General features: G+C 45.6%; 1 long non-coding RNA gene across 1 annotated transcript in view, besides 7 other annotated features; it reads right to left on the reverse strand.

Moving 5' to 3' along the window:
• Positions 1 to 17,896, reverse strand: part of LINC02245 (long intergenic non-protein coding RNA 2245) — a 30,608-nt gene extending 12,712 nt beyond the window's left edge. Inside the window, exon 1 of the long non-coding RNA NR_036586.1 lies at positions 17,794 to 17,896. This is a non-coding gene — a long non-coding RNA (long intergenic non-protein coding RNA 2245). The remainder of the gene's footprint in view (positions 1 to 17,793) is intronic.
• Positions 941 to 1,020: an enhancer, noted in NCBI's record as "active region_15913". NCBI's record gives its function as "activates an Ori minimal core promoter by ATAC-STARR-seq in GM12878 lymphoblastoid cells {active_cell/tissue: GM12878}" and the evidence as "EXISTENCE:reporter gene assay evidence [ECO:0000049][PMID:35858748]".
• Positions 1,934 to 2,123: an enhancer, noted in NCBI's record as "active region_15914". NCBI's record gives its function as "activates an Ori minimal core promoter by ATAC-STARR-seq in GM12878 lymphoblastoid cells {active_cell/tissue: GM12878}" and the evidence as "EXISTENCE:reporter gene assay evidence [ECO:0000049][PMID:35858748]".
• Positions 2,494 to 2,543: an enhancer, noted in NCBI's record as "active region_15915". NCBI's record gives its function as "activates an Ori minimal core promoter by ATAC-STARR-seq in GM12878 lymphoblastoid cells {active_cell/tissue: GM12878}" and the evidence as "EXISTENCE:reporter gene assay evidence [ECO:0000049][PMID:35858748]".
• Positions 3,554 to 3,633: an enhancer, noted in NCBI's record as "active region_15916". NCBI's record gives its function as "activates an Ori minimal core promoter by ATAC-STARR-seq in GM12878 lymphoblastoid cells {active_cell/tissue: GM12878}" and the evidence as "EXISTENCE:reporter gene assay evidence [ECO:0000049][PMID:35858748]".
• Positions 18,271 to 18,410: an enhancer, noted in NCBI's record as "active region_15917". NCBI's record gives its function as "activates an Ori minimal core promoter by ATAC-STARR-seq in GM12878 lymphoblastoid cells {active_cell/tissue: GM12878}" and the evidence as "EXISTENCE:reporter gene assay evidence [ECO:0000049][PMID:35858748]".
• Positions 18,451 to 18,520: an enhancer, noted in NCBI's record as "active region_15918". NCBI's record gives its function as "activates an Ori minimal core promoter by ATAC-STARR-seq in GM12878 lymphoblastoid cells {active_cell/tissue: GM12878}" and the evidence as "EXISTENCE:reporter gene assay evidence [ECO:0000049][PMID:35858748]".
• Positions 18,561 to 18,710: an enhancer, noted in NCBI's record as "active region_15919". NCBI's record gives its function as "activates an Ori minimal core promoter by ATAC-STARR-seq in GM12878 lymphoblastoid cells {active_cell/tissue: GM12878}" and the evidence as "EXISTENCE:reporter gene assay evidence [ECO:0000049][PMID:35858748]".

Genomic DNA, 19,274 nt, shown 5'->3' on the forward strand with positions numbered 1-19,274 from the left:
GTTGCAGTGAGCCGAGATCACACCACTGCACTCCAGCCTGGGCGACAGAGCAAGTCTTTGTCTCAAAGTAATAATAATAATAATAAACATTGAATGTACCTCTTCCTCAGGGAAAGGAGGTTAAATAAAGCTGGATTTCCATCTGAAAAGGGAGATAGAGGGGAAATATGGACAATAACATATGAAGTAAGAGTCAGAAAAAAATCTGTACATGTAAATAGATGTATATGGAATCACCTCATAATGTCACGGTGATTGTTTATGGAGAGTGAGGTTGCAGGTGAGTTTTATTTTCGACCCCACCTCTGGTACTCATGACCTTTGTGTGGCCCTCTCCCACTCTGTAACAGGGCGAGTTTGGGTGACCTATAGAATACAGCAGAAGTGAAGGTTCGTCACTCCCCACTGAGGCTATATAAAGGGCTGTAGTTTCCATCTTGGACACTGTCTCTCTTGCTCTTTCTCTCACATCATTTATTCTTAAGGGAAATTTTGTCCTGAGAAGCACTATAGAGGGGCCCAGCCATGGCCTCCTGCCAACAGCCACATGAGTGAGCTTAGAACCAGACCCTAGCAGGCCACTGATGCAATCCATCTGTAGTCCCAGCTAGTTGGGAGGCTGAGGCTAGAGAATTACTTGAGCCCAGGAGTTCAAGGCAGCAGTGAGCTATGATCACAACGCTGAAAAAGCAGCAGATCCTGCAACCTGCCAAGGCTTCACATGAGAATAGCCCTGACAACATCTGGACTGCAACCTCTTGAGACTCCCTGAGTCAGAACTACCCAGCATATTTCAGACGAGACCATAAAAGAGGAAGAAAAGAACCACCTGGCTGAGCTGCTCTCAGTGATAGTGAGATAACAGATGTTTGATATTTTAAGCTGCTGGGTTTTGGAGATAACCTGTTACACAACAACAAATAACTAACACAGTATTTTCCCCGCAATTTTCAAGTTCTATATAATGTACATATATTGCCTTACAACCAGAAAAAAAATGTTTTCAAAGATCAAGTAAATCCTTCATTCCAGTGTGATACAGAACAACCTGTTCAGTTGTCTGTCTGAGTACCATCACTGCTTTGCACACCTGTACCCACTGAAGTCCATGTGGTAAGACACCAGCTACACACCAGGGAGGCCTGAACAGGGGTTGGTCTTAATTTGGTTTTGCCAGAGAACTTCGTGTTGCAAAACATCCCATAAAAAGGGATGATTCTTTTCGTGTGATGCAGGTCTTGCAAATGTAGCCAAAAATCAGTTAATTCCCTCAGGAAATTGGATAACATTTAAACCTGGTTAACTGCCTCAAACGTTGTATAAAGTAATAAATAGCATTTGACTATTACCAACAGCTACATTTTGTTTATAGAGGATTTTCTTTCTTTTATTTTTTTTTATTATTATTTTTTTTTAGAGACAAGGTCTCCTTCTGTCGCCCAAGCTGGAGTGCAGTGGTGCAATCACGGCTCATTGCAGCCTCAACCTCCCAGGCTCAAATGATCCTCCCAGCTCAGCTTTTTGGGCACCTGGAACTACAGGCACATGTCACCACACCCAGCTTGGATTTCCCAAAATTGGAAATGTACATTTTTCTTTTGAAGGTCAGTGGGCCTAGAACAAAATGTGGCATGGTAGGGAGAATGCTGTCCTTGAACCTGAAGCCTTCCCTCTGCCAGGAACAGCTCTGTGGCTCTGCAACAAGTCACTTTGCCTCTCTGGCCAGTTTCCTTATATGTAAAACAGCAGTGTTGAATATACTATCTCTAATGACTCCAAAAATTTGTTACCCTATATAGTCTTGCTTTAACCTACCATGGTATTTTGGCTCTTGAATGACAAGCCTGAGCCCCCACTCATGATGGATGTTGCACTATCCAGTATGGAGGCCACTATGTGCATGTGGCTAAATTCAAATTAATTTAAATGAACTAAAATTAAAATGTATTTCTCTGTTGCAGTAGCCATGTTTCAGGTGCTCCATAGCACCTGCAGCCAGTGGCGATGTATGACACAGCGCAGAGTTAGAGCACTTCCACCATCACAGAAAGTTCTACTGGACAGCTGCTCTAGGGCCTCACCTCTCCAAGTGTGGTCCACGAACCAGCAGCACCACATTACCTAGGAGCCCTTAGAAATGTAGACTGGGCTCAGACTGGGCACAGTGGCTCACGCCTGTAATCCCAGCACTTTGGGAGGCCAAGGCAGGCTGATCACCTGAGGTCAGGACTTCAAGACCAGCTTGGTCAACATGGTGAAACCCCGTCTTTACTAAAAATACAAAAATTAGCCAGGCGTGGTGGCAGGTGCCTGTAGTCTCAGCTACTCGGAAGGCTGAGGCAAGAGAATCGCTTGAATTCAGGAGGCGGAGGTTGCAGTGAGCTGAGACTGTGCCATTGCACTCCAGCCAGGGCAATAAGAGTGAAACTCCGTCTCAAAAAAAAAAAAGAAAAGAAAGAAAGAAAAGAAAAGAAACGTAGACTCTTGGGCCCTACCCCAGATCAGCCGAATCAGAATCTGGATTTTAACAAGATTCCCCAGTGCCTCCTGCAGGTGTGAGTTTGAGAAGCCCTGCTATAGGGAATGTTCTCTGCTGAGCAGGTGACTGGAAGGACAGAGTGGTGGTTAGATGTGTGTCCTCGGCCGGATGCAGTGGCTCATGCCTGCAATCCCAGCACTTTGGGAGGCCGAGGCTGGAGGATCACTCGAGCCCAGGAGTTAGAGACCAGCCTGGGCAACATAGGGAGACCTTGTCTTTACAAAAACATAAACAAAATTAGCCGGGCATGGTAGTGCATGCCTGTGGTCCCAGCTACTTGGGAGGCTGAGGCAGGAGGATCACTTGAGCCTGGAAGGTCAAGGATGCAGTGAGCCAAGATCGTGCCACTGCACTCCAGCCTGGGCAACAGAGTGAGACCTTGTCTCAAAAAAAAAAAAAAAAAAAAATTGTGGCCTCTGTGACCACACTCAGCGGATGTGTAGCCTGGCTACTTCTTGGCTGTGTGAACTTAGGCAAATTTCTTAACCCTTCTGGGCTCCAGTTTCCTTATTCAGAAAATAGTATCCATCTCATGGGAAACTCTGAGGCCATAACAATATAAGACAATTATCACAGTGCCTCCCTAACACACAGTAAGTGCTCTTTAAATGACAGTTTTGTTATTTTGGGGTTCTGCAAGGTTTCAGGTTTCTGACAACCCCAGGCCTTGAGATCCAATGCAGACAACAGGCCAAGAGCGGCTCTTCTCCTTTCTGCCACAGGGTGGCGCTGTGTCACAACGTCCTTTCCTCTCCCGCAGACTTGGAGCTGGCTCCCCGGCAGGAAACCAGAATTTGAGATTTCCGCTGTCTCTGTTTCCGATTACTAAGCACGACCGGGCAGCCTGGACACCGATCCAAGCATTCATCTGGCAGATAATAGGAAAACAGTCCTCAGCTTTGTATCCAGTTGGAATGCAAAAGTAAGGGTCGAACCAAGAGTTCAATAAGGGCTGTGTGAAAGTGGTCGTGGAAGCCGGAGACTCCTGATGGAGGGCTGGGGGCAGGGAAGTTTCGGATTTTCTGTATCAGCTGTGCAACGACTTGTGTTCCTTGAACCACATGTTCAAACTACAGCCCTTTGCTGGCCAAGTATATGGGTGTGTGTGTGGGCGGGGAGTCGGGGTGGGGAGCCTGTGGGAGGTGTGGGTGTGAGAAGGAGAGACAGAGAGAGGATTTTTAATGTTTTGAAACAGGGTCTTGCTCTGTTCTCAGGCTGGAGTGCAGTGGTGCAATCACAGCTCACTGCAGCCTCGACCTCCCTGGCTCAAGCAATCCTCCCGTCTCAGCCTCCTGAGTAACAGGGGCCACAGGCATGTGCCACCATGCTCGGCTAATTTTTTATTTTTGGTAGAGATGGGAGTCTCCCTATGTTGCCCAGGCTGGTCTCAAACTCCTGGGCTCAAGGGATCCTCCCATGTCAGTCTCCCAAAGTGCTGGGATTACAGGTATGACCCGCCGTTTCTGGCTGGGATTTTTTAAGGAGTCGATTTCTAAAGTTTCTCAAACTTGAGCCTACCTCACAGTCACCTGGGGAGGCTTGATTGCTTGGCCATAGTCTCAGAATTTTCAATTCAGTGGGAGGTCTGGCCTGAATAATTTGCATTCCAAACAAGCTCCCAGGTGATGCTGACGCTTCTGATCCAGGGACCGCCCTTCACTACCCTAAACTGAAAAGCTCACCTGGACCAAATTAGATACTCCTAGTTCAAGAGAAGGACATCACTCCAGAGGAAGTTCCTTTAACACCCCACCCATGGTGACACCCTCAGCACTCTTAGGAACCTCTTAAGTCCCCCTTGGGCCATGTCAGGGGACTTGTCAGCCTGAAACCCCATGTGGACAGGAAAAGTGGCTACAGGGCCAGGAGCTAGGGTTATTCCCAAGTTAAGGTCCCCACTTCCCTCCAGACTCTTAATTCATAACTCTTGCTGTGTCCTGAGAAGGGTGATTAAGACCCTCAAAACCCTGCTTAGTCCCACTTGTGGCACCAAACCTGCGGAGAGCACTCTTTTTGCCTGATGCCACCAGTCCAAAGCAGAGTCACTTCCCCCTAGAAATAGGAAACAGCAGAGGTCTGGATGATTCTGATGGGGGTGTTGGACATTTCAGAGGGAGGGTGGACAACTCAGATGGGACCCCCACTGGTTGATACAGGCTGATTGGAACAGTCATGACCAGAGAGAGTGTCCTAAGAACAAGCCTGTGTCCTCCTCTGAGTTCCTCAGGCACTAGGGCCTCTGCATGTATGGCACTGATCATATACTGCCTGGCCATGAGTCGTGAGCTTTGCTATTCTTTTAAAAAGAGTATGTGGCCCAATCAGGATGTGCCAGGCTCAGCACCAAGCTTGAATGGGAGCCCACATCCTCACAATGGGGAAAACACGCAGATGTCAAAGCACATCTCACATATGTGTAGTGGGCCTATGTATGCAGCTGCCAGGCTCTGAGCCTTCTTTGAGTTCCCCTAAAACCTAGTTTCCCAAGCAGTGCAGTGAGGCCCACTGGTGGGCCATGAGATGAGTAAGGGAGGCCAGAAGCTAATGTTTTAAGTCTAAATAGTTTTAAGGAATAGCTATCTTTATAAGGTTGAGATAAAGATAAAATAAATTTGGTAAAAGTAAGGTGAGTTGATTTAGAGAACAATAATAGGCTATAGGATAAGTGCTTATCTGAAGTTTGGGAAACACTGGCCAACAGAATTCACACATGCAAAAGTGTGGGTGAGTAACGGAGACTTCACTGGAGACTTCATGGTAGCAATTGAGGAGGGGTCTTTATGTAGCACAGCCCACATCCCACACAGCCATAGGACCCCACAGGACTCATTTTCATTCTTCCCAAGTCCATTCATGGCCACACAGTCACGGGATCTTTTTGTGTTTTTGTTTTGAGACAGGTTCTCGCTCTGTCGCCCAGGCTGGAGTGTAGTGATGCTATCTTGGCTCACTGCAACCTCGACCTCCCTGGTCTCGGGTGATCCTCCCACCTCAGCCTCCCAAGTAGCTGAGAACACAGGCATGCACCACCATGCCTGGCTAATTTTTTGTACAAACGGGGTTTTGCCATGTTGCCCAGGCTGGTCTCAAACTCTTGAGCTCAAGCCATCCGCCCCCCCTCAGCCTCCCAAAGTGCTGGGATTACAGATGTGAACCACTGTGCCCAGTCCACTGGGTCTTTCTTTTTTTTTTTTTTTTTTTTTGAGACAGAGTCTTGCTCTGTTGCCCAGGCTGGAGTGCAGTGGCGTGATCTCGGCTCACTGCAACCTCCGCCTCCCGGGTTCAAGCGATTCTCCTGCCTCAGCCTCCCAAGCAGCTGAGACTACAGGCACGTGCCACTACGACCAATAATTTTTTGTATTTTTAGTAGAGACGGGGTTTCACCGTGTTAGCCAGGATGGTCTTGATCTCCAGACCTTCTGATCCGCCTGCCTCGGCCTCCCAAAGTGCTGGGATTACAGGCGTGAGCCACCGCGCCCGGCCTGGGTCTTTTTATTGTCTGTGTTTCTGCCACTTGGGTGCAGATTCCTGGCTCCATACAGGGGCCACACCCTACATCACCACCTTCAGTTCTTTCCCTTTATTATGAAGAAGATTCAGCTGTCTCCCAAATTCCACCCCAAACTCTGAAACTGGGGAAAGTTTATATAGTTTATATTGTAAAGGTCAATGAATACCAGTAAAGCCATTTTAAAAAAAATGCTTTATTAATGAAGATAGTAATGCAGAATGGTGCAACTACTTTGAAAACAGTTATGCAGTTTCTTAAATGATAAACATACACGCACTGATAACCCAGCCATTCCACTCCTAGGTATTTACTGTATTCACCCAAGGTAATATATGGCCATAGAAAGACTTGTACAATAATGTTCATAACAGCTTAATTAGTAATGGCTAAAAACTGAAAACAACCCAAATGTCCACCAACAAGTGAATGGATAAACAAATTGAGATGTTTCCATTCAATGAAATACTCTCAGAAATTAAAAAGGAATGAACTATTGATACATTCAACGATATGGATGAATTGCAGAAAAACTACACTGAGTGAAAGAAGCAAGATAAAAGGAATACGTACTATATTATTCCATTCAGATAACATTCTAGAAAATGGGCCAGGTGTGGTGGCATGCATCTGTGGTCCCAGCTACTTGAGAGGCTGAAGTTGGAGAATCACTTGAGCCCAGGAGGTCAAGGCTGCAGTGAGCTATGATCATGCCACTGCACTCCAGCCTGGGTGACACAGTGAGACTCTGTCTCTGAAAAACTACGAAATAAAAATAAAGGAAAAAGTGTAAGGGCCCTTTCCACAGACACAGCACAGCCTTGATCCTGCTCCCCAGAGCCAACTACTGTTAGCAATTTACTGAGCAACCTCTCAGGTTATTTCTTATGAATACACATGAATTTATAGAGATTTTATTTTTACAGAAACAGGATTATACCGTACATATGGTTCTGCAACTGCTTTTTTATGAAATAATGTGAGGGCCTTGGAGAAATAAAGTTTAACTCCAATGTACACTTTAACATGATTATGCTGTCCCCTTGCCACAGGGCTTGGGAGAAATTAGACTAAGCCAAATCAGGTAGCCACTCTTGAGAAAAGTACATAACTAGGCTGGGCGTGGCAGCTCACACCTGTAATCCCAGCACCTTGGGAGGCCGAGGCAGGAGGATTACTTGAGCCCAGGAGTTCAAGACCATCCTGGGCAACAGATCAAGACTGCATCTCTTGCTAAAGAATTAAAATTACTAAAAATTAAAAAATTAGTTTTCATTTTTAAAATTAAAATTACTACTACTAAAAATTAATTTAAAAAATTTTTTTACTAAAATTAAAAATTAAAAAATTACTACTAAAAATAAAAAAATTAGCCAGGTGTGGTGGTGAGCACCTGTGGTCCCAGCTACTCAGGAGACCAAGGTGGGAGGATCGCTGAGTCCAGGAGGTCAAGCCATGTTCATGCCACTGCACTCCAACCTGGGTGACAGAGAAAGACCTTGTCTCAAAAAAATAAATATAAAAAAAGAAAGAAAAATGCATAGCTAAATACTGAGTCCAGGATCACTGAGTCCAGGAGTTCAAGGCTGCACTGAGCCATATTCATGCCACTGCACTCCAACCTGGGTGACAGAGAAAGATCATGTCTCAAAAAATAAATATAAAAAAAGAAAGAAAAATGCATAGCTAAATACCCATCTCCTGTTCCATTAGATTCTCCCTAGGGATGCTAGTGGATCTGCTGTAGAGAGGGAGACACAAACCTCTCCCTGGACTTGGGGGTGTGGGAATGTCTTTGGGAAAGCCATCAGCAGGGGCTGACTGTGGTCGGGGTGAGCAGAGCCGTTGCCAATTTTGCAAGGTGAGAAAGTAAGTTTTTATTAACACAGCAGAATGTTTCAAGTCTGTTCTCTGGAAACCTAAGATGTACTTACTGTGCCTTCACATAGAGTCTAGGTCATGTTCTCGTTATCCTTGGGAGGTGGTGGTGTGGTGTGCACAGGGACCGGGCTCCGAAGTGCAGCAAAATGGGTTGGAATCCCAGCTCTCACCCTTGCCAGCTGGGTGACCTTGGGCAAGTCACATGTCCTTCCCCATTGGCTTCCACTGGCTTGTTGTGGAGGTTCATGCTGTAGCCGTATGGGCGGTGCCTGGTAATTCGTAGCCAATCAGCAGCCCCTAGGAAGCTAATTTTACTGGTCTCCTATTATTATTACTTCCTATTGAGGTCATTGACCTCAGGTTTTGCCAACAGCCTTCCCCTCCCGCAAAGGCAACTGGCGCCCCCTCTCAACTCTTTCCAGGTCAGCAGCAGCAAATAGCTAAAATTTGCTGTGAAATCTTGGCTTGCAGGGCCCGTATTGATTTTGTTCTCGAAGCCTTTCAAGTAGCCGCTGCCCTGTGATCTCCCTGCAAAGCCCCTTACAAAACCCAGCAGCTTCCCCAGACAGCTACTGGAGACACATATGCTTCTAGAAAGAAACCCGGACCCCTGGGCCACTAGAACCAGTCCTGTCTTTATCTCAAAGCCCCAAGGTCTCAGAGCTCAGTGTGTTTATCAGGTCATTTAGCAGCTACCCAGGTAATGGTTGAGGAGCATGGGCAGGAGGCTCCTGCCTCATCACCTTCCTCTCAACAGATATTGATCTCGTTCCACTATGTGCAAGGGAACCACACACAATGCTCCCAGGACCTTTGACGTCCCAGTGCTGCTTGTTGGCTAGGGTAGTGGTAAACAAAGGAAAGGCAACCTTAGCTGAGTCCCTGCCTCCATTCTTGCCAAAATTTAAACCAGGTCAATTTTTCCGGCCTAGTGCACCCTTTAACTTTGTTGCTGAACTGTTTGCTAGTCCTGGTGGCTCAGCAAGGACTAGGGAAGGCAGGTGGCCTGGCTGAGACCCTGCAGCTCAGTTCCTGCCACGGACTCAGCACTAGCCAGGTGTGTGGCCTTCAGACAACTCACTCACCTCTCAGTGCTGTTTTCACACATCATTTTCTAAGTTTTGTGGAAGTAAGACCACAGGCCAAAATGCCACACTAGACTAACAGAGAAACCTCTTCCAGAAGTTTCTGCAGCAGCCCACACACTAGTGATGATGGTGAGTGGATGCTCCCTTGTAAACCAGATGCTTGTGAGGCAAGAGCTGCCTATGTCTAGAAGGGTGTTTTGTTTTTTGTATTTTTGTTTTTTTGAGACAGGGTCTCCCTCTGTTGCCCAGGCTGGAGTGCAGTGGTGCAATCTCAGCTCACTGCAACCTCTGCCTCCCAGGTTCAAACAATTCTCCTGCCTCAGCCTCCCGAGTAGCTGGGATGACAGGCACGTGCCACCACGCCCGGCCAATTTTTGTATTTTTAGTAGAGATGGAGTTTCACCATATTGGTCAGGCTGGTCTCGAACTCCCGACCTCAGGTGATCTCCCTGCCTTGGCCTCCCAAAGTGCTGGGATTACAGGTGTGAGCCACTGTGCCTGGCCTCTAGAAGGGTTGTAACACAGATAGTTGGAACAAAAAGGTATTTCCATCCTCCAAGGACCTGTCTAGACATGAAGGCTGACTGTGAGAGGAGAGATTTAGAGGAGATGGGTCACCATGGGGGTCAGACCCACAGATGGGGATGGGGAAGAAGAGGTGATAATCCTTAGCAACCTACGTACAACCACAGAAGCTGGTGCTGGCTAAGTCAGGCAGAAAAGAAACTTAGTGAGAGGATACTGGGTGGCCACACAATGGTGGGAAGACAGAACTGTGTCTGCAAAATGGGGAAGAAGGAGGGATGTCATGGGACTGGAGCCCACGTCACACCCCTGGAGGTAGCTTGTTCTGGTATCACTGGGTCTGGTTGTGGTGACTGCCCCTGTGGCCACTGTTAAAGTAGATCCCCACCAACCTGAAGTCTGAGGTGAGTGCCTCCAACCAGCCAAGCCCTAACCACAAGGGAAGCTTCGAGAGAGTGTGCCTTACCTTAGCAGGGGTCTTTGCCTAACACAAAGCTGACTTTGCCTCTCACCATGTTGAATGGGGTGGTCCCAAACTCAGGAAGTGGGGTCAAGGCTGGGTGGCCAAAAATTCAACAAATGTCCCAGAGTGGAAGGCCAGCTGATCAGTCTCTGAAACTGTGCTTACTGATGAGAGGTGGAAGCTATTCATGGGGCAACTGGGGGCTCCAACCGACAGTAACAGGTCTCCAGGAGGCAGCAACAGGGGCTCTCAGAGGAAGCCTCATCTCGTGACTCTCCATTGGGGACAGTGTTGGCAATGTCTGGGCAAGGTCTAGCTCCGTCACCTATGATGGGGTGCAGTGGCACAATCTTGGCTCACAGCCTCTGCCTCCAGGGCTCAAGCCATCCTCCTACCTCAGCCTCCCAAGTAGCTTGGACCACAGGTATACACCACCATGCCCAGCTAATTTTTTTTTTTCTTAATAGAGACAGGGTTTTGCCATGCTGCCCAGGCTGGTCTCAAACTTATGAGCTCAAGTGATCCACCACCTTGGACTCCCAAAGTGCTGGGATCACAGGTGTGAGCCACTGTGCCCAGCTGATTAAATCTTAAAGCTCCAAAATAATCTTCTTTGACTCCATGTCTCACATCCAGGCTGGGTTCTCACATCTTGGGTGAGGGGTGCTACTGGCATCCAGTGGGTAGAGGCCAAGGGTGCTGGTAAACATTCTGTGATGCCCAGGACAGCCACATGCCCCCAGTGAAGAATTATCCCACTAAAATGTCAACAGTGCTGAGGCTGAGAATCCCTGATTTATTCAGAGGTCCTCACAGGTCAGCTCATCAGGCATGTCTGCAGAGAGGACAACAGCCTGGACATGTGGCCTGAATTTTGGGGGAGACCCATTCTTGTAGCAAGGACAGGGGAAATGAACTGTGTTTGGAAAAGGCAAGGCAGGAACCCCATCCTAAGTGCCCCGAGCTTCTGGGCAAGTTATGATGACTGAGCCTCAGGAACAAGGACTGCATAGGTATTTGCTTACAACCTGAACGAGCATTCAAGATGCTGGAACAGGCAGATACTAGGGATGCAGCATGAAAGCCTGAGAGTCTGCAGTTGGCTGGGACCAGAGATGGAATGCTGAGGTGGTATGGTTTGGCTCTGTGTCCCCACCCAAATCTCATCTCAAATTGCAATCCCCACATGTTGCGGGTGGGGCCTGGTGGGAGTCCACCCCCATGATTCAATCACCAGTCTCAGGTAGTTCTTCATAGCAGTGTGAGAATGAACTAATACAGGAAATTGGTACTGGGAGTCAGGCACTGCTATAGAAATACCTAAAAATGACAAAGTGACTTTGGAATTGGGTAACATGCAAAGGTTGGAAGAGTTTGGAGGGTTCAGAAGAAGACAGGAAGATGTGGAAAGTTAGAAACTTCCTAGAGACTTGTTGAGTGGTTTTGACCAAAATGCTGATAGTGATATGGACAACGAAGTCCAGGCTGAGGTGCTCTCAGATGGAGATGAGAAATTTACTGGGAACTGGAGTAAAGGTCACTCTTACTATGCTTTAGCAAAGAGACTGGTGGCATTTTGCCCCTGCCCTAGAGATCTGTGGGACTTTCCATTTGGAAGTGATGACATATGATATCTGGTAGAAGAAATTTCTAAGCAGCAAAGCATTCAAGATGTGACCTGGCTGTTTCTAAAAGTGTATGCTGATATGCATAGAGAAAGAGATGGTTTGAAATTGGAACTTACATTTAAAAGTGAAGCAGAGCATAAAAGTTTGGAAAATTTGCAGCCTGACCATGCAGTAGAAAAGAAAAACCCATTTTCTGGGGAGAAATTCAAGCCAGCTACAGAAATTTGCATAAGTAAAGAGGAGCCAAATGTTAATTGCCAAGACAATGGGGAAAATATCTCCAGGGCATGTCAGAGACCTTCACAGCAGCCCCTTGTATCACAAGCCCAGAGGCCTAGGAGGGCAAAATGGTTTTATGGGCCAGGCCCAGGGCCCAGCTGCTCTGTGCAGCCTTGGGACATGGCACATGGGAGCCCACCTCTTACATCAGCATGGCCTGGATGTGAGACATGGAGTCAAAGAAGATTATTTTGGAGCTTTAAGATTTAATCAGCTGGGCACGGTGGCTCACACCTGTGATCCCAGCACTTTGGGAGCCCAAGGTGGTGGATCACTTGAGCTCACAAGTTTGAGACCAGCCTGGGCAGCATGGCAAAACCCTGTCTCTTTAAAAAAAAAAAAATTAGCTGGGCATGGTGGTGTGTACCTGTGGTCCAAGCTACTTGGGAGGCTGAGGTAGGAGGATGGCTTGAGCCCTGGAGGCAGAGGCTGTGAGCCAAGATTGTGCCACTGCACCCCATCATAGGTGACGGAGCCAGACTTTGCCTCGGAAAAAAAAAAAAAAGATTTAATGACTGTACTGATGGGTTTCAAAATTGCATGGGGCCTGTAGCCCCTTTGTTTTGGCCAACTTCTCCCATTTGGAATGGGTGCATTTACCCAATGCCTGTACCCCCATTTTATCTTGGAAGTAACTAACTTGTTTTTGATTTTACGGTCTCATAGACGGATAGGACTGGCCTTGTCTCTGATGAGACTTTGGACTTGGACTTTTGAGTTGATGCTGGAATGAGTGAAGACTTTGGAAGACTCTTAGGAAGGCCTGATTGGTTTTGAAATGTGAGAAGGATATGAGATTTGGGAGGGGCCAGGGGCAGAATGATGTGGTTTAACTCTGTGTCCCCACCCAAATTTCATGTTGAATTGTAATCCCCGGTGTTGGGGGAAAGACCTGGTGGGAGGTGATTGTATCATAGGGGCAGTTTCCCCCTTGCTGTTCTTGTGATAATATGTGAGTTCTCACAAGATCTGATGGTTTAAAAGTGCGTGGCACTACCCGCTTCGTGCTCTCTCTCTCTCCTGCTCTGCCATGGTAAGATGTACCTGCTTCCCTTTCACCTTCTGCCATGATTGTAAGTAGTTTCTTGAGGCCTCCCAGCCATGCTTCCTGTCAAATCTGTGGAACTTGAGTTGATTAAACCTCTTTTCTTCATAAATTACCCAGCCTCAGGTAGTTATTTATGGCAGTGTGAGAAAGGACTAATACATGTGGCTTCAGCTCTGGGGAGGAGAGGCAAAAGGGGTGAGGAGCCAGGAACTGCTGGCTTCCAGTCAGACCTTAAGGCCAACCACAGTTTAGTCCTTGGGTCCAGCCTCCTCAGTTGGGTTGTCATTGTCATCTCCTTAGACACATGATGGTGGGTGGGGTAAAGGGGACAGATAAATCAAGATCTCAAGGGAGGCAGAAATTTGTACAACTGGGAAGCAAGACAAATGTCTACTTGTTTTCATAATGCAATGGGCCGAAATTAAAGCTTTGCATAATATTCTTGGTTGGTGGTTTTTTTGTGTTTTTTTATTTTTTTAATTTTCATAGAGATGAGGTCTCACTATGTTGCCCAGGCTGGTCTCGAATTCTGGGCTCAAGCAATCCTCCTGCTTTGACCTCCCAAAATTGTGGAATTATAGGCATGAGCTACCCCAACCAGCCCAGGATATTGTTTAGAAAGTATCAAGAAACCTGGTATAAACAATATATCAAAGTTCTGTCTGATTTTCCATAGACACACAGATGGTGCTAATTTTCCATGTTGGTAAAATGCTTTGGCTTTTGCAAAACCCTTTCAGGGCTCTTAGCATCTCAGCAACCCTGTGAGGTAGCCATTAACAATCCCATTTGACAGGCAAGGAAACTGAGGCTTGAAAAGGCCGGGCAGCTCACCCACAGCCACAGGGCTAGCTAGAGCCTCAACTCTTCCTTGCCTTTCTTCTTCTGTAGGAAACATTTATGTCAGTTCCAAGGGGCATTTGAAAACTCCACGAACTCAGAGGTTGATCCACCAACCTCAGCCTCCCAAAGTGCTGAGATTACAGGCGTGAGCCACCACATCTGGCCTCTGTATACATTCCTTCCCCCCATTACCCCCCAGAAACAGGGTCTTGCTCTGTTGCCCAGGCTCTGGATACAGTGGCACAATTATAGCTCACGGCAGCCTCACACTCCTGAGCCACCACACCTGGCTATTTCTTATATTTAGTTATTTGTTATAGTTATTCCACTTGCCTGATCACCCTACTCCTTTTGGGTTTTAGGTTTTTAATTCTTTAGGGAAATCTGGTACTATTTCCTAGTAAAATGCTCCATATATCTTAGGGGATTCTGGCCCAAGATTAGGAAAGAAAATTGGTAGATAGGGGATGGCTGCTGGAGAAAAGTCTTACTGACAGCAGCAAGAAATGACAGTTATTAGTCTGACAGTGAGAGAGTCACTGTGACCTGGGCACTTTTCCTTTTTTGCTGCTTTACATTGTGGTGAGCCTGCTCTCTTCTTCTTGGCTGCCTTCTCCCACTTGGGTTTGGCACAATTTCCCCTTTGGGAAAAACAACGTCCTAGCAGCCATCTACTTATAATTTCTCTCACATGGCCAGGCACTCATTGGAGGCTGCTGTTCTTTGGGAAATGCCCTCTTCAGCAGCCTTGATGAATGTGGGGAGAAAGCCTCAGGAATTGGCTTCCCTTTAAGGAATATGGACTGTCCTTCTCTTTTACTAAATTGGTGCTAATTGCCATTGTGAACATTTGCTTGTTTCATTTTATTATCTTTTTGAGATATATTTCTTTTTAGTCCTAGGCTTATATTTAAACTAATGTGTAATTATTGTTTGGAATTCTTAATAATCCACTCAACCCTGCTCAAGAGGCAAATATTTTAGCACTGGAAAATATTTATATGTGTCTTCATGGTTTCTTATTCTGGATGCAACTATAAAATAATAAACTACAACAAATATCTTCCAAACAGTAATTATACATTTATTCATATCAGATCCCTTTAAGCTATTTCACTAGTTTGGTGGTGTCTAAGCAATATGGTGACATGCATTTCCTATCCAAGTCAACTGGGTTCCCTTTTTGCAGCTGACATCTCTAAGAGCTGAGACTCTTAATCTGCAAAAGTCATTTTGTAATAGCTTTCTTGAAGTACAACTGGCATACAACAAACTACATATATTTGAAGTATGCAATTCAACATGTTTTGACATATTTATACACCAGTGAAACCATCACCACAATCAAGATAACGTATCTATCACCCCAGAAAATTTTCTCAAGCCCATTTGTAATTTCTCACTCCTGCCCTTTTTCACCTTCCCCTCCTCATTTCCCAGGCAATAACTGAACTGCCTACTGTCACCATAAATGAGTTTCCATTTTCTAGAATTTTATATAAATGAAATTAAGCCATATGTCCTATTTTTACTGGCTTCATTCACTCAATGTAATTTTGTGATTCATCCATGTTGTGTTGTATCAATACTTCATTCCTTTTTGTTATTGAGGACTATGTCCACTGTATGAATACAATGCAATTTGTTTACCCATCCATGTCCCTGTTAAGGGACAGTTGGCTTGTTTCCAGTTTTGGGGCCATTATAGATAATGCTGCTGTGAGCATTTGTGTACAAATCTTTGTGTGGACCTACGCTTTCTCGTCTTTTGGGTAAATACCTAGGAGTGGAATAGTTGGATCTTACGGTAGATGTTTATCTAGCATATTAAGAAAGTGCCAAAAAATGAAAAAGAAACAGTAAACTGTTCTTTCAAATGTTTTCCATTCCCACTAGCAGGGTATGAGAGTTCTAGTTTCTTCACATTCTTGCCAAAATTTGGGATGATCAGTCTTTTAAACTTTAGACATTGTAACATATGCATAGTGGTATATTGTGGTTTTAATTTGCATTTCCCTTATGACTAATGATCATAAGGGATCATTAGTCAATGATGCCTTCATCATTGACTGATGACCAAAGCATCATCTTTGGTGAAATGTGGAATTAAATCTTTGCAAAAGTAAAATTTTGCACAGTTTAGTGTCCTGTGTCATTTATTTGCCAAACATCACAATGCTATGACCTGCTACTTCCTGACACACTGACTTAACCCCTCTAAGTGTGCATTCAAAATCCTAGCATCAGTAAAAGCCAGCATTTATGAGGTGCTTATTACATGCCATTGCCTGTGCTTAGCATTTTATGCGTACTAACTCAGTTATTCCTTACAACATCTCACTTTTTGGGTGAGAAAACAGTGACCCAGAGAGATGAAGCAACTTGCCCCAAATCACACAGCTAGTTCAGTGGTAGAGCAGGGGCTCAAAGTTGTGTGGGAAGTGGGAGAGAAGAATATAAAGAAGCATTGGTCTGCAGTTGAGAATTCATCTGCGGTTTTTCCACATCCTTTGTGCAGAAGGTGAATAGATCGTGGAATTGATCTGGAGTCCAGAATTTTGCCAAGTGCAGAGGACCACAGGGTATGATATCGACCAAGTTATTTGAAGTGACTGATTAGGTGATCTTGACTAGCTAGAGAAGGAAGACAGAAGAAAGAAAGAGCAACAATGGAGGAGTCAGAGGGCTCCAGGAGGTTGGAGGGCCATGACAGGCAAGAGAGTGCTGCAAACATGGATGATTTTGGCTAAAGTGAGATGTAGGAACTTGGGAATTCATAGGCGACAGGGCTCCTAGTACTGATGGGGTTCAGGCACAAGGAGGTTGGATACTGGCAATCAGGAAATGAAGGGCAATGTCACTAAATGGCTTGAGTCCCAAAGAGATAGTCATTTATTTTAATTTTTTTCTAGAGAAAAACAGTTTAGATGCATTCAGACTATTTTCTGTTTTTTCATTCACATGTTATTTTTTATGGAATGAAATCTATCAATATCTTCCTTTATGGTTTGGGTGATGTTTCAGGGTGTTCAATCATCCCCATTTGCATGGAACTGTTCAGTTTTAGCACTGAAAGTCCCACATCCTGGGAAATTCCTCAGTCCCGGGCAAATCAGAACAGTTGGTCACCTTAGAAGCCATGGACTCTCATACTTCAAAAATTACCAATAGTCTCGCAACCAGTTCTCTCCTTTCATTCTCATCCCTCCTCTCTTGCTGAATTATTATCCAAAATACAAAAGAACAAACTCACAGACTGGTAGGAACCTACATCTTTAATCCTAACCCCCGTTACCTGCTTTGGATATCCAACACTCTAACCAAATAGGCTTAATTAAATATGATTCCCCAAACACCCCCACCCCAGGTGTCTCAGTCACTCTGTGCTGTTATAAATGACTATATACTGGGTGGCTTAGACAACAGAGATTTATTTCTCACTGTTCTAGAGGCCGGGAAGTCAGATCAGGGCGCCAGCATGGTCGGCTCTGGTAAGGGACCTCTTCCTCGTTTGCAGATGACCATTCTCTCGTTGTGTCCTCACATGGCAGAGAGGATAGAAAGCAAGCTCTCTCCTGTCTTTTCATGAAGACACTAATCCCATTCATGAGGGATTCACCCTCATGGCCTAATTACTTTCCAGAGGCCACACCACCTAATGCCATCACAATGGGGACTGGGCTTCAACAAGTCGATTAGGGGGAAGGGGGGAGCCACAAGCATCCAGTCCATAGTACCAGGCTCTCATATCTCAGGCCTCTGTTCCTGGTCTTCTCCTTCCCTGAATTTTCTCTCCCTTTGCAGCCTGCCTGCCTCCCATTCTTCCTTTCAGACCTTCCTTTGAAGCAACCTTGTCTAGGAAGGCTTTGCAACCTGAACTCTTCCTCCTTAGATATTTATAGCTCTTTGAGCTCCTCTATTAATTATAACAAGGTAGTAAGTGACAGAACATCTGACACCAGATGGCTCAAACAAACGAAAAGCACCCTACCTTTGGAAGGTAGATCCACATTCAGGCATAGTCGGATTACAGGATCAGAGCATAGCCATCCAGATTCTGTATCTCTTCCTCCATCTCTCAACTCTAGGTTACCTCTCTCCTCGGGCAGCCCCTCCCCTCACAGCTGTAAGAGCATCGGCAGCTTCTTGGGCTGCATTTTTTCAGGGTATGGGAAAAGAGGAGGAGTTACTATATCAACATCCCCAGAGGCTGAAAATGCCCCTGACTGGACCACTTTATTCCATCGCTGTGGTCAGGAGGTTGTGCAGGGCCATGAGGCTGCACAGGTGGTTGTTATGCATTGCATGACACCAAGAGGTGCCATTCACATAGTCTGCAACACAGCTACCGGACCGAGCACACCCTTTCACCTCTCTGGGTCTCAGTTTCATGAGTCAGATAAGAGTGACAAATCTGAGGTCTCCTTTAGTCCTACAGATCTACCATTCCACCATTCTGTGACCTCCTCTGTTGAAATAGTATTTTAGTGGTTTGGCTATCTTTCCATGAAGAGTTCTTAAACTCTCTTTTTATCTATGTTCATCCCCCTCCAGAATAACAAGTGGGTGGTAAGCTTTTTTAAAAAGAGGAAGCAGAGAAGCCCAAAGAAATTAAGATGTAAAAATAGTACATTGTGAAAATTCTCAGTTCCGTGTTACCACTGGTCATATCTATTTGGCTGGACAAGTTATAATGTAGTCGCCATTTGCTGAGTGTTTGTTACATGCTTGCTTCTAAATGTTCCTTGTGTGTTACATCTTCTAGTTTCTTCTGGTGACCCCCATGGACTAGATGGTACTGTACCTGTTGTTCCCATTTTATAGACAAAGAAAGTAAGCCCTGGAAAGTTGCTCGGGGTGCATGTTCACCGAATGGTGGCATCTGGATTTGAACATATGTTTGCTGGGCTTCACATTTCTCTCTGACCCAACACACTGTGTCACTCCTTCGTCAGAGTCTCTGCTGGAGTTCATCGAGTCTCAACTGGGGGCTCTAGCCCAAGGGAGTGATGTACTTGCTGGTTCACAGGAACATGAGTGTTTTTAAAAGGAAGATTCAATTTTAATATAATTAATAATTATAAATAATAACAATTTTATATTTGGAAATTTTTATTTTCTGACAAAAGTATAGAAAGTAAAATTCAATAAAATACTCTTGGCTGGTTGCAGTGGCTCATGCCTATAATCCCAGCCCTTTGGGAGGCCAAGATGGGTGGATCACGAGGTCAAGAGAGTGAGATCATCCTGGCCAACATGGTGAAACCCTGACTCTACTAAAAATACAAAAATTAGCTGGGTGTGGTGGCACACGCCTATAGTCCCAGCTACTCGAGAGGCTGAGGCAGGGGAATCGCTTGAACCTGAGAGGCAGAGATTGCAGTGAGCCGAGATCGCACCACTGCACTCCAGCCTGGTGACAGAGCAAGACTCCATCTCAAAAAAAAAAAAAATACTCATGGCAAGTGGGGA

The sequence above is a fragment of the Homo sapiens genome, chromosome 2 (genome assembly GCF_000001405.40).
Source record: "Homo sapiens chromosome 2, GRCh38.p14 Primary Assembly".
In the NCBI taxonomy this organism is placed as follows: Eukaryota; Metazoa; Chordata; class Mammalia; order Primates; family Hominidae; genus Homo; species Homo sapiens.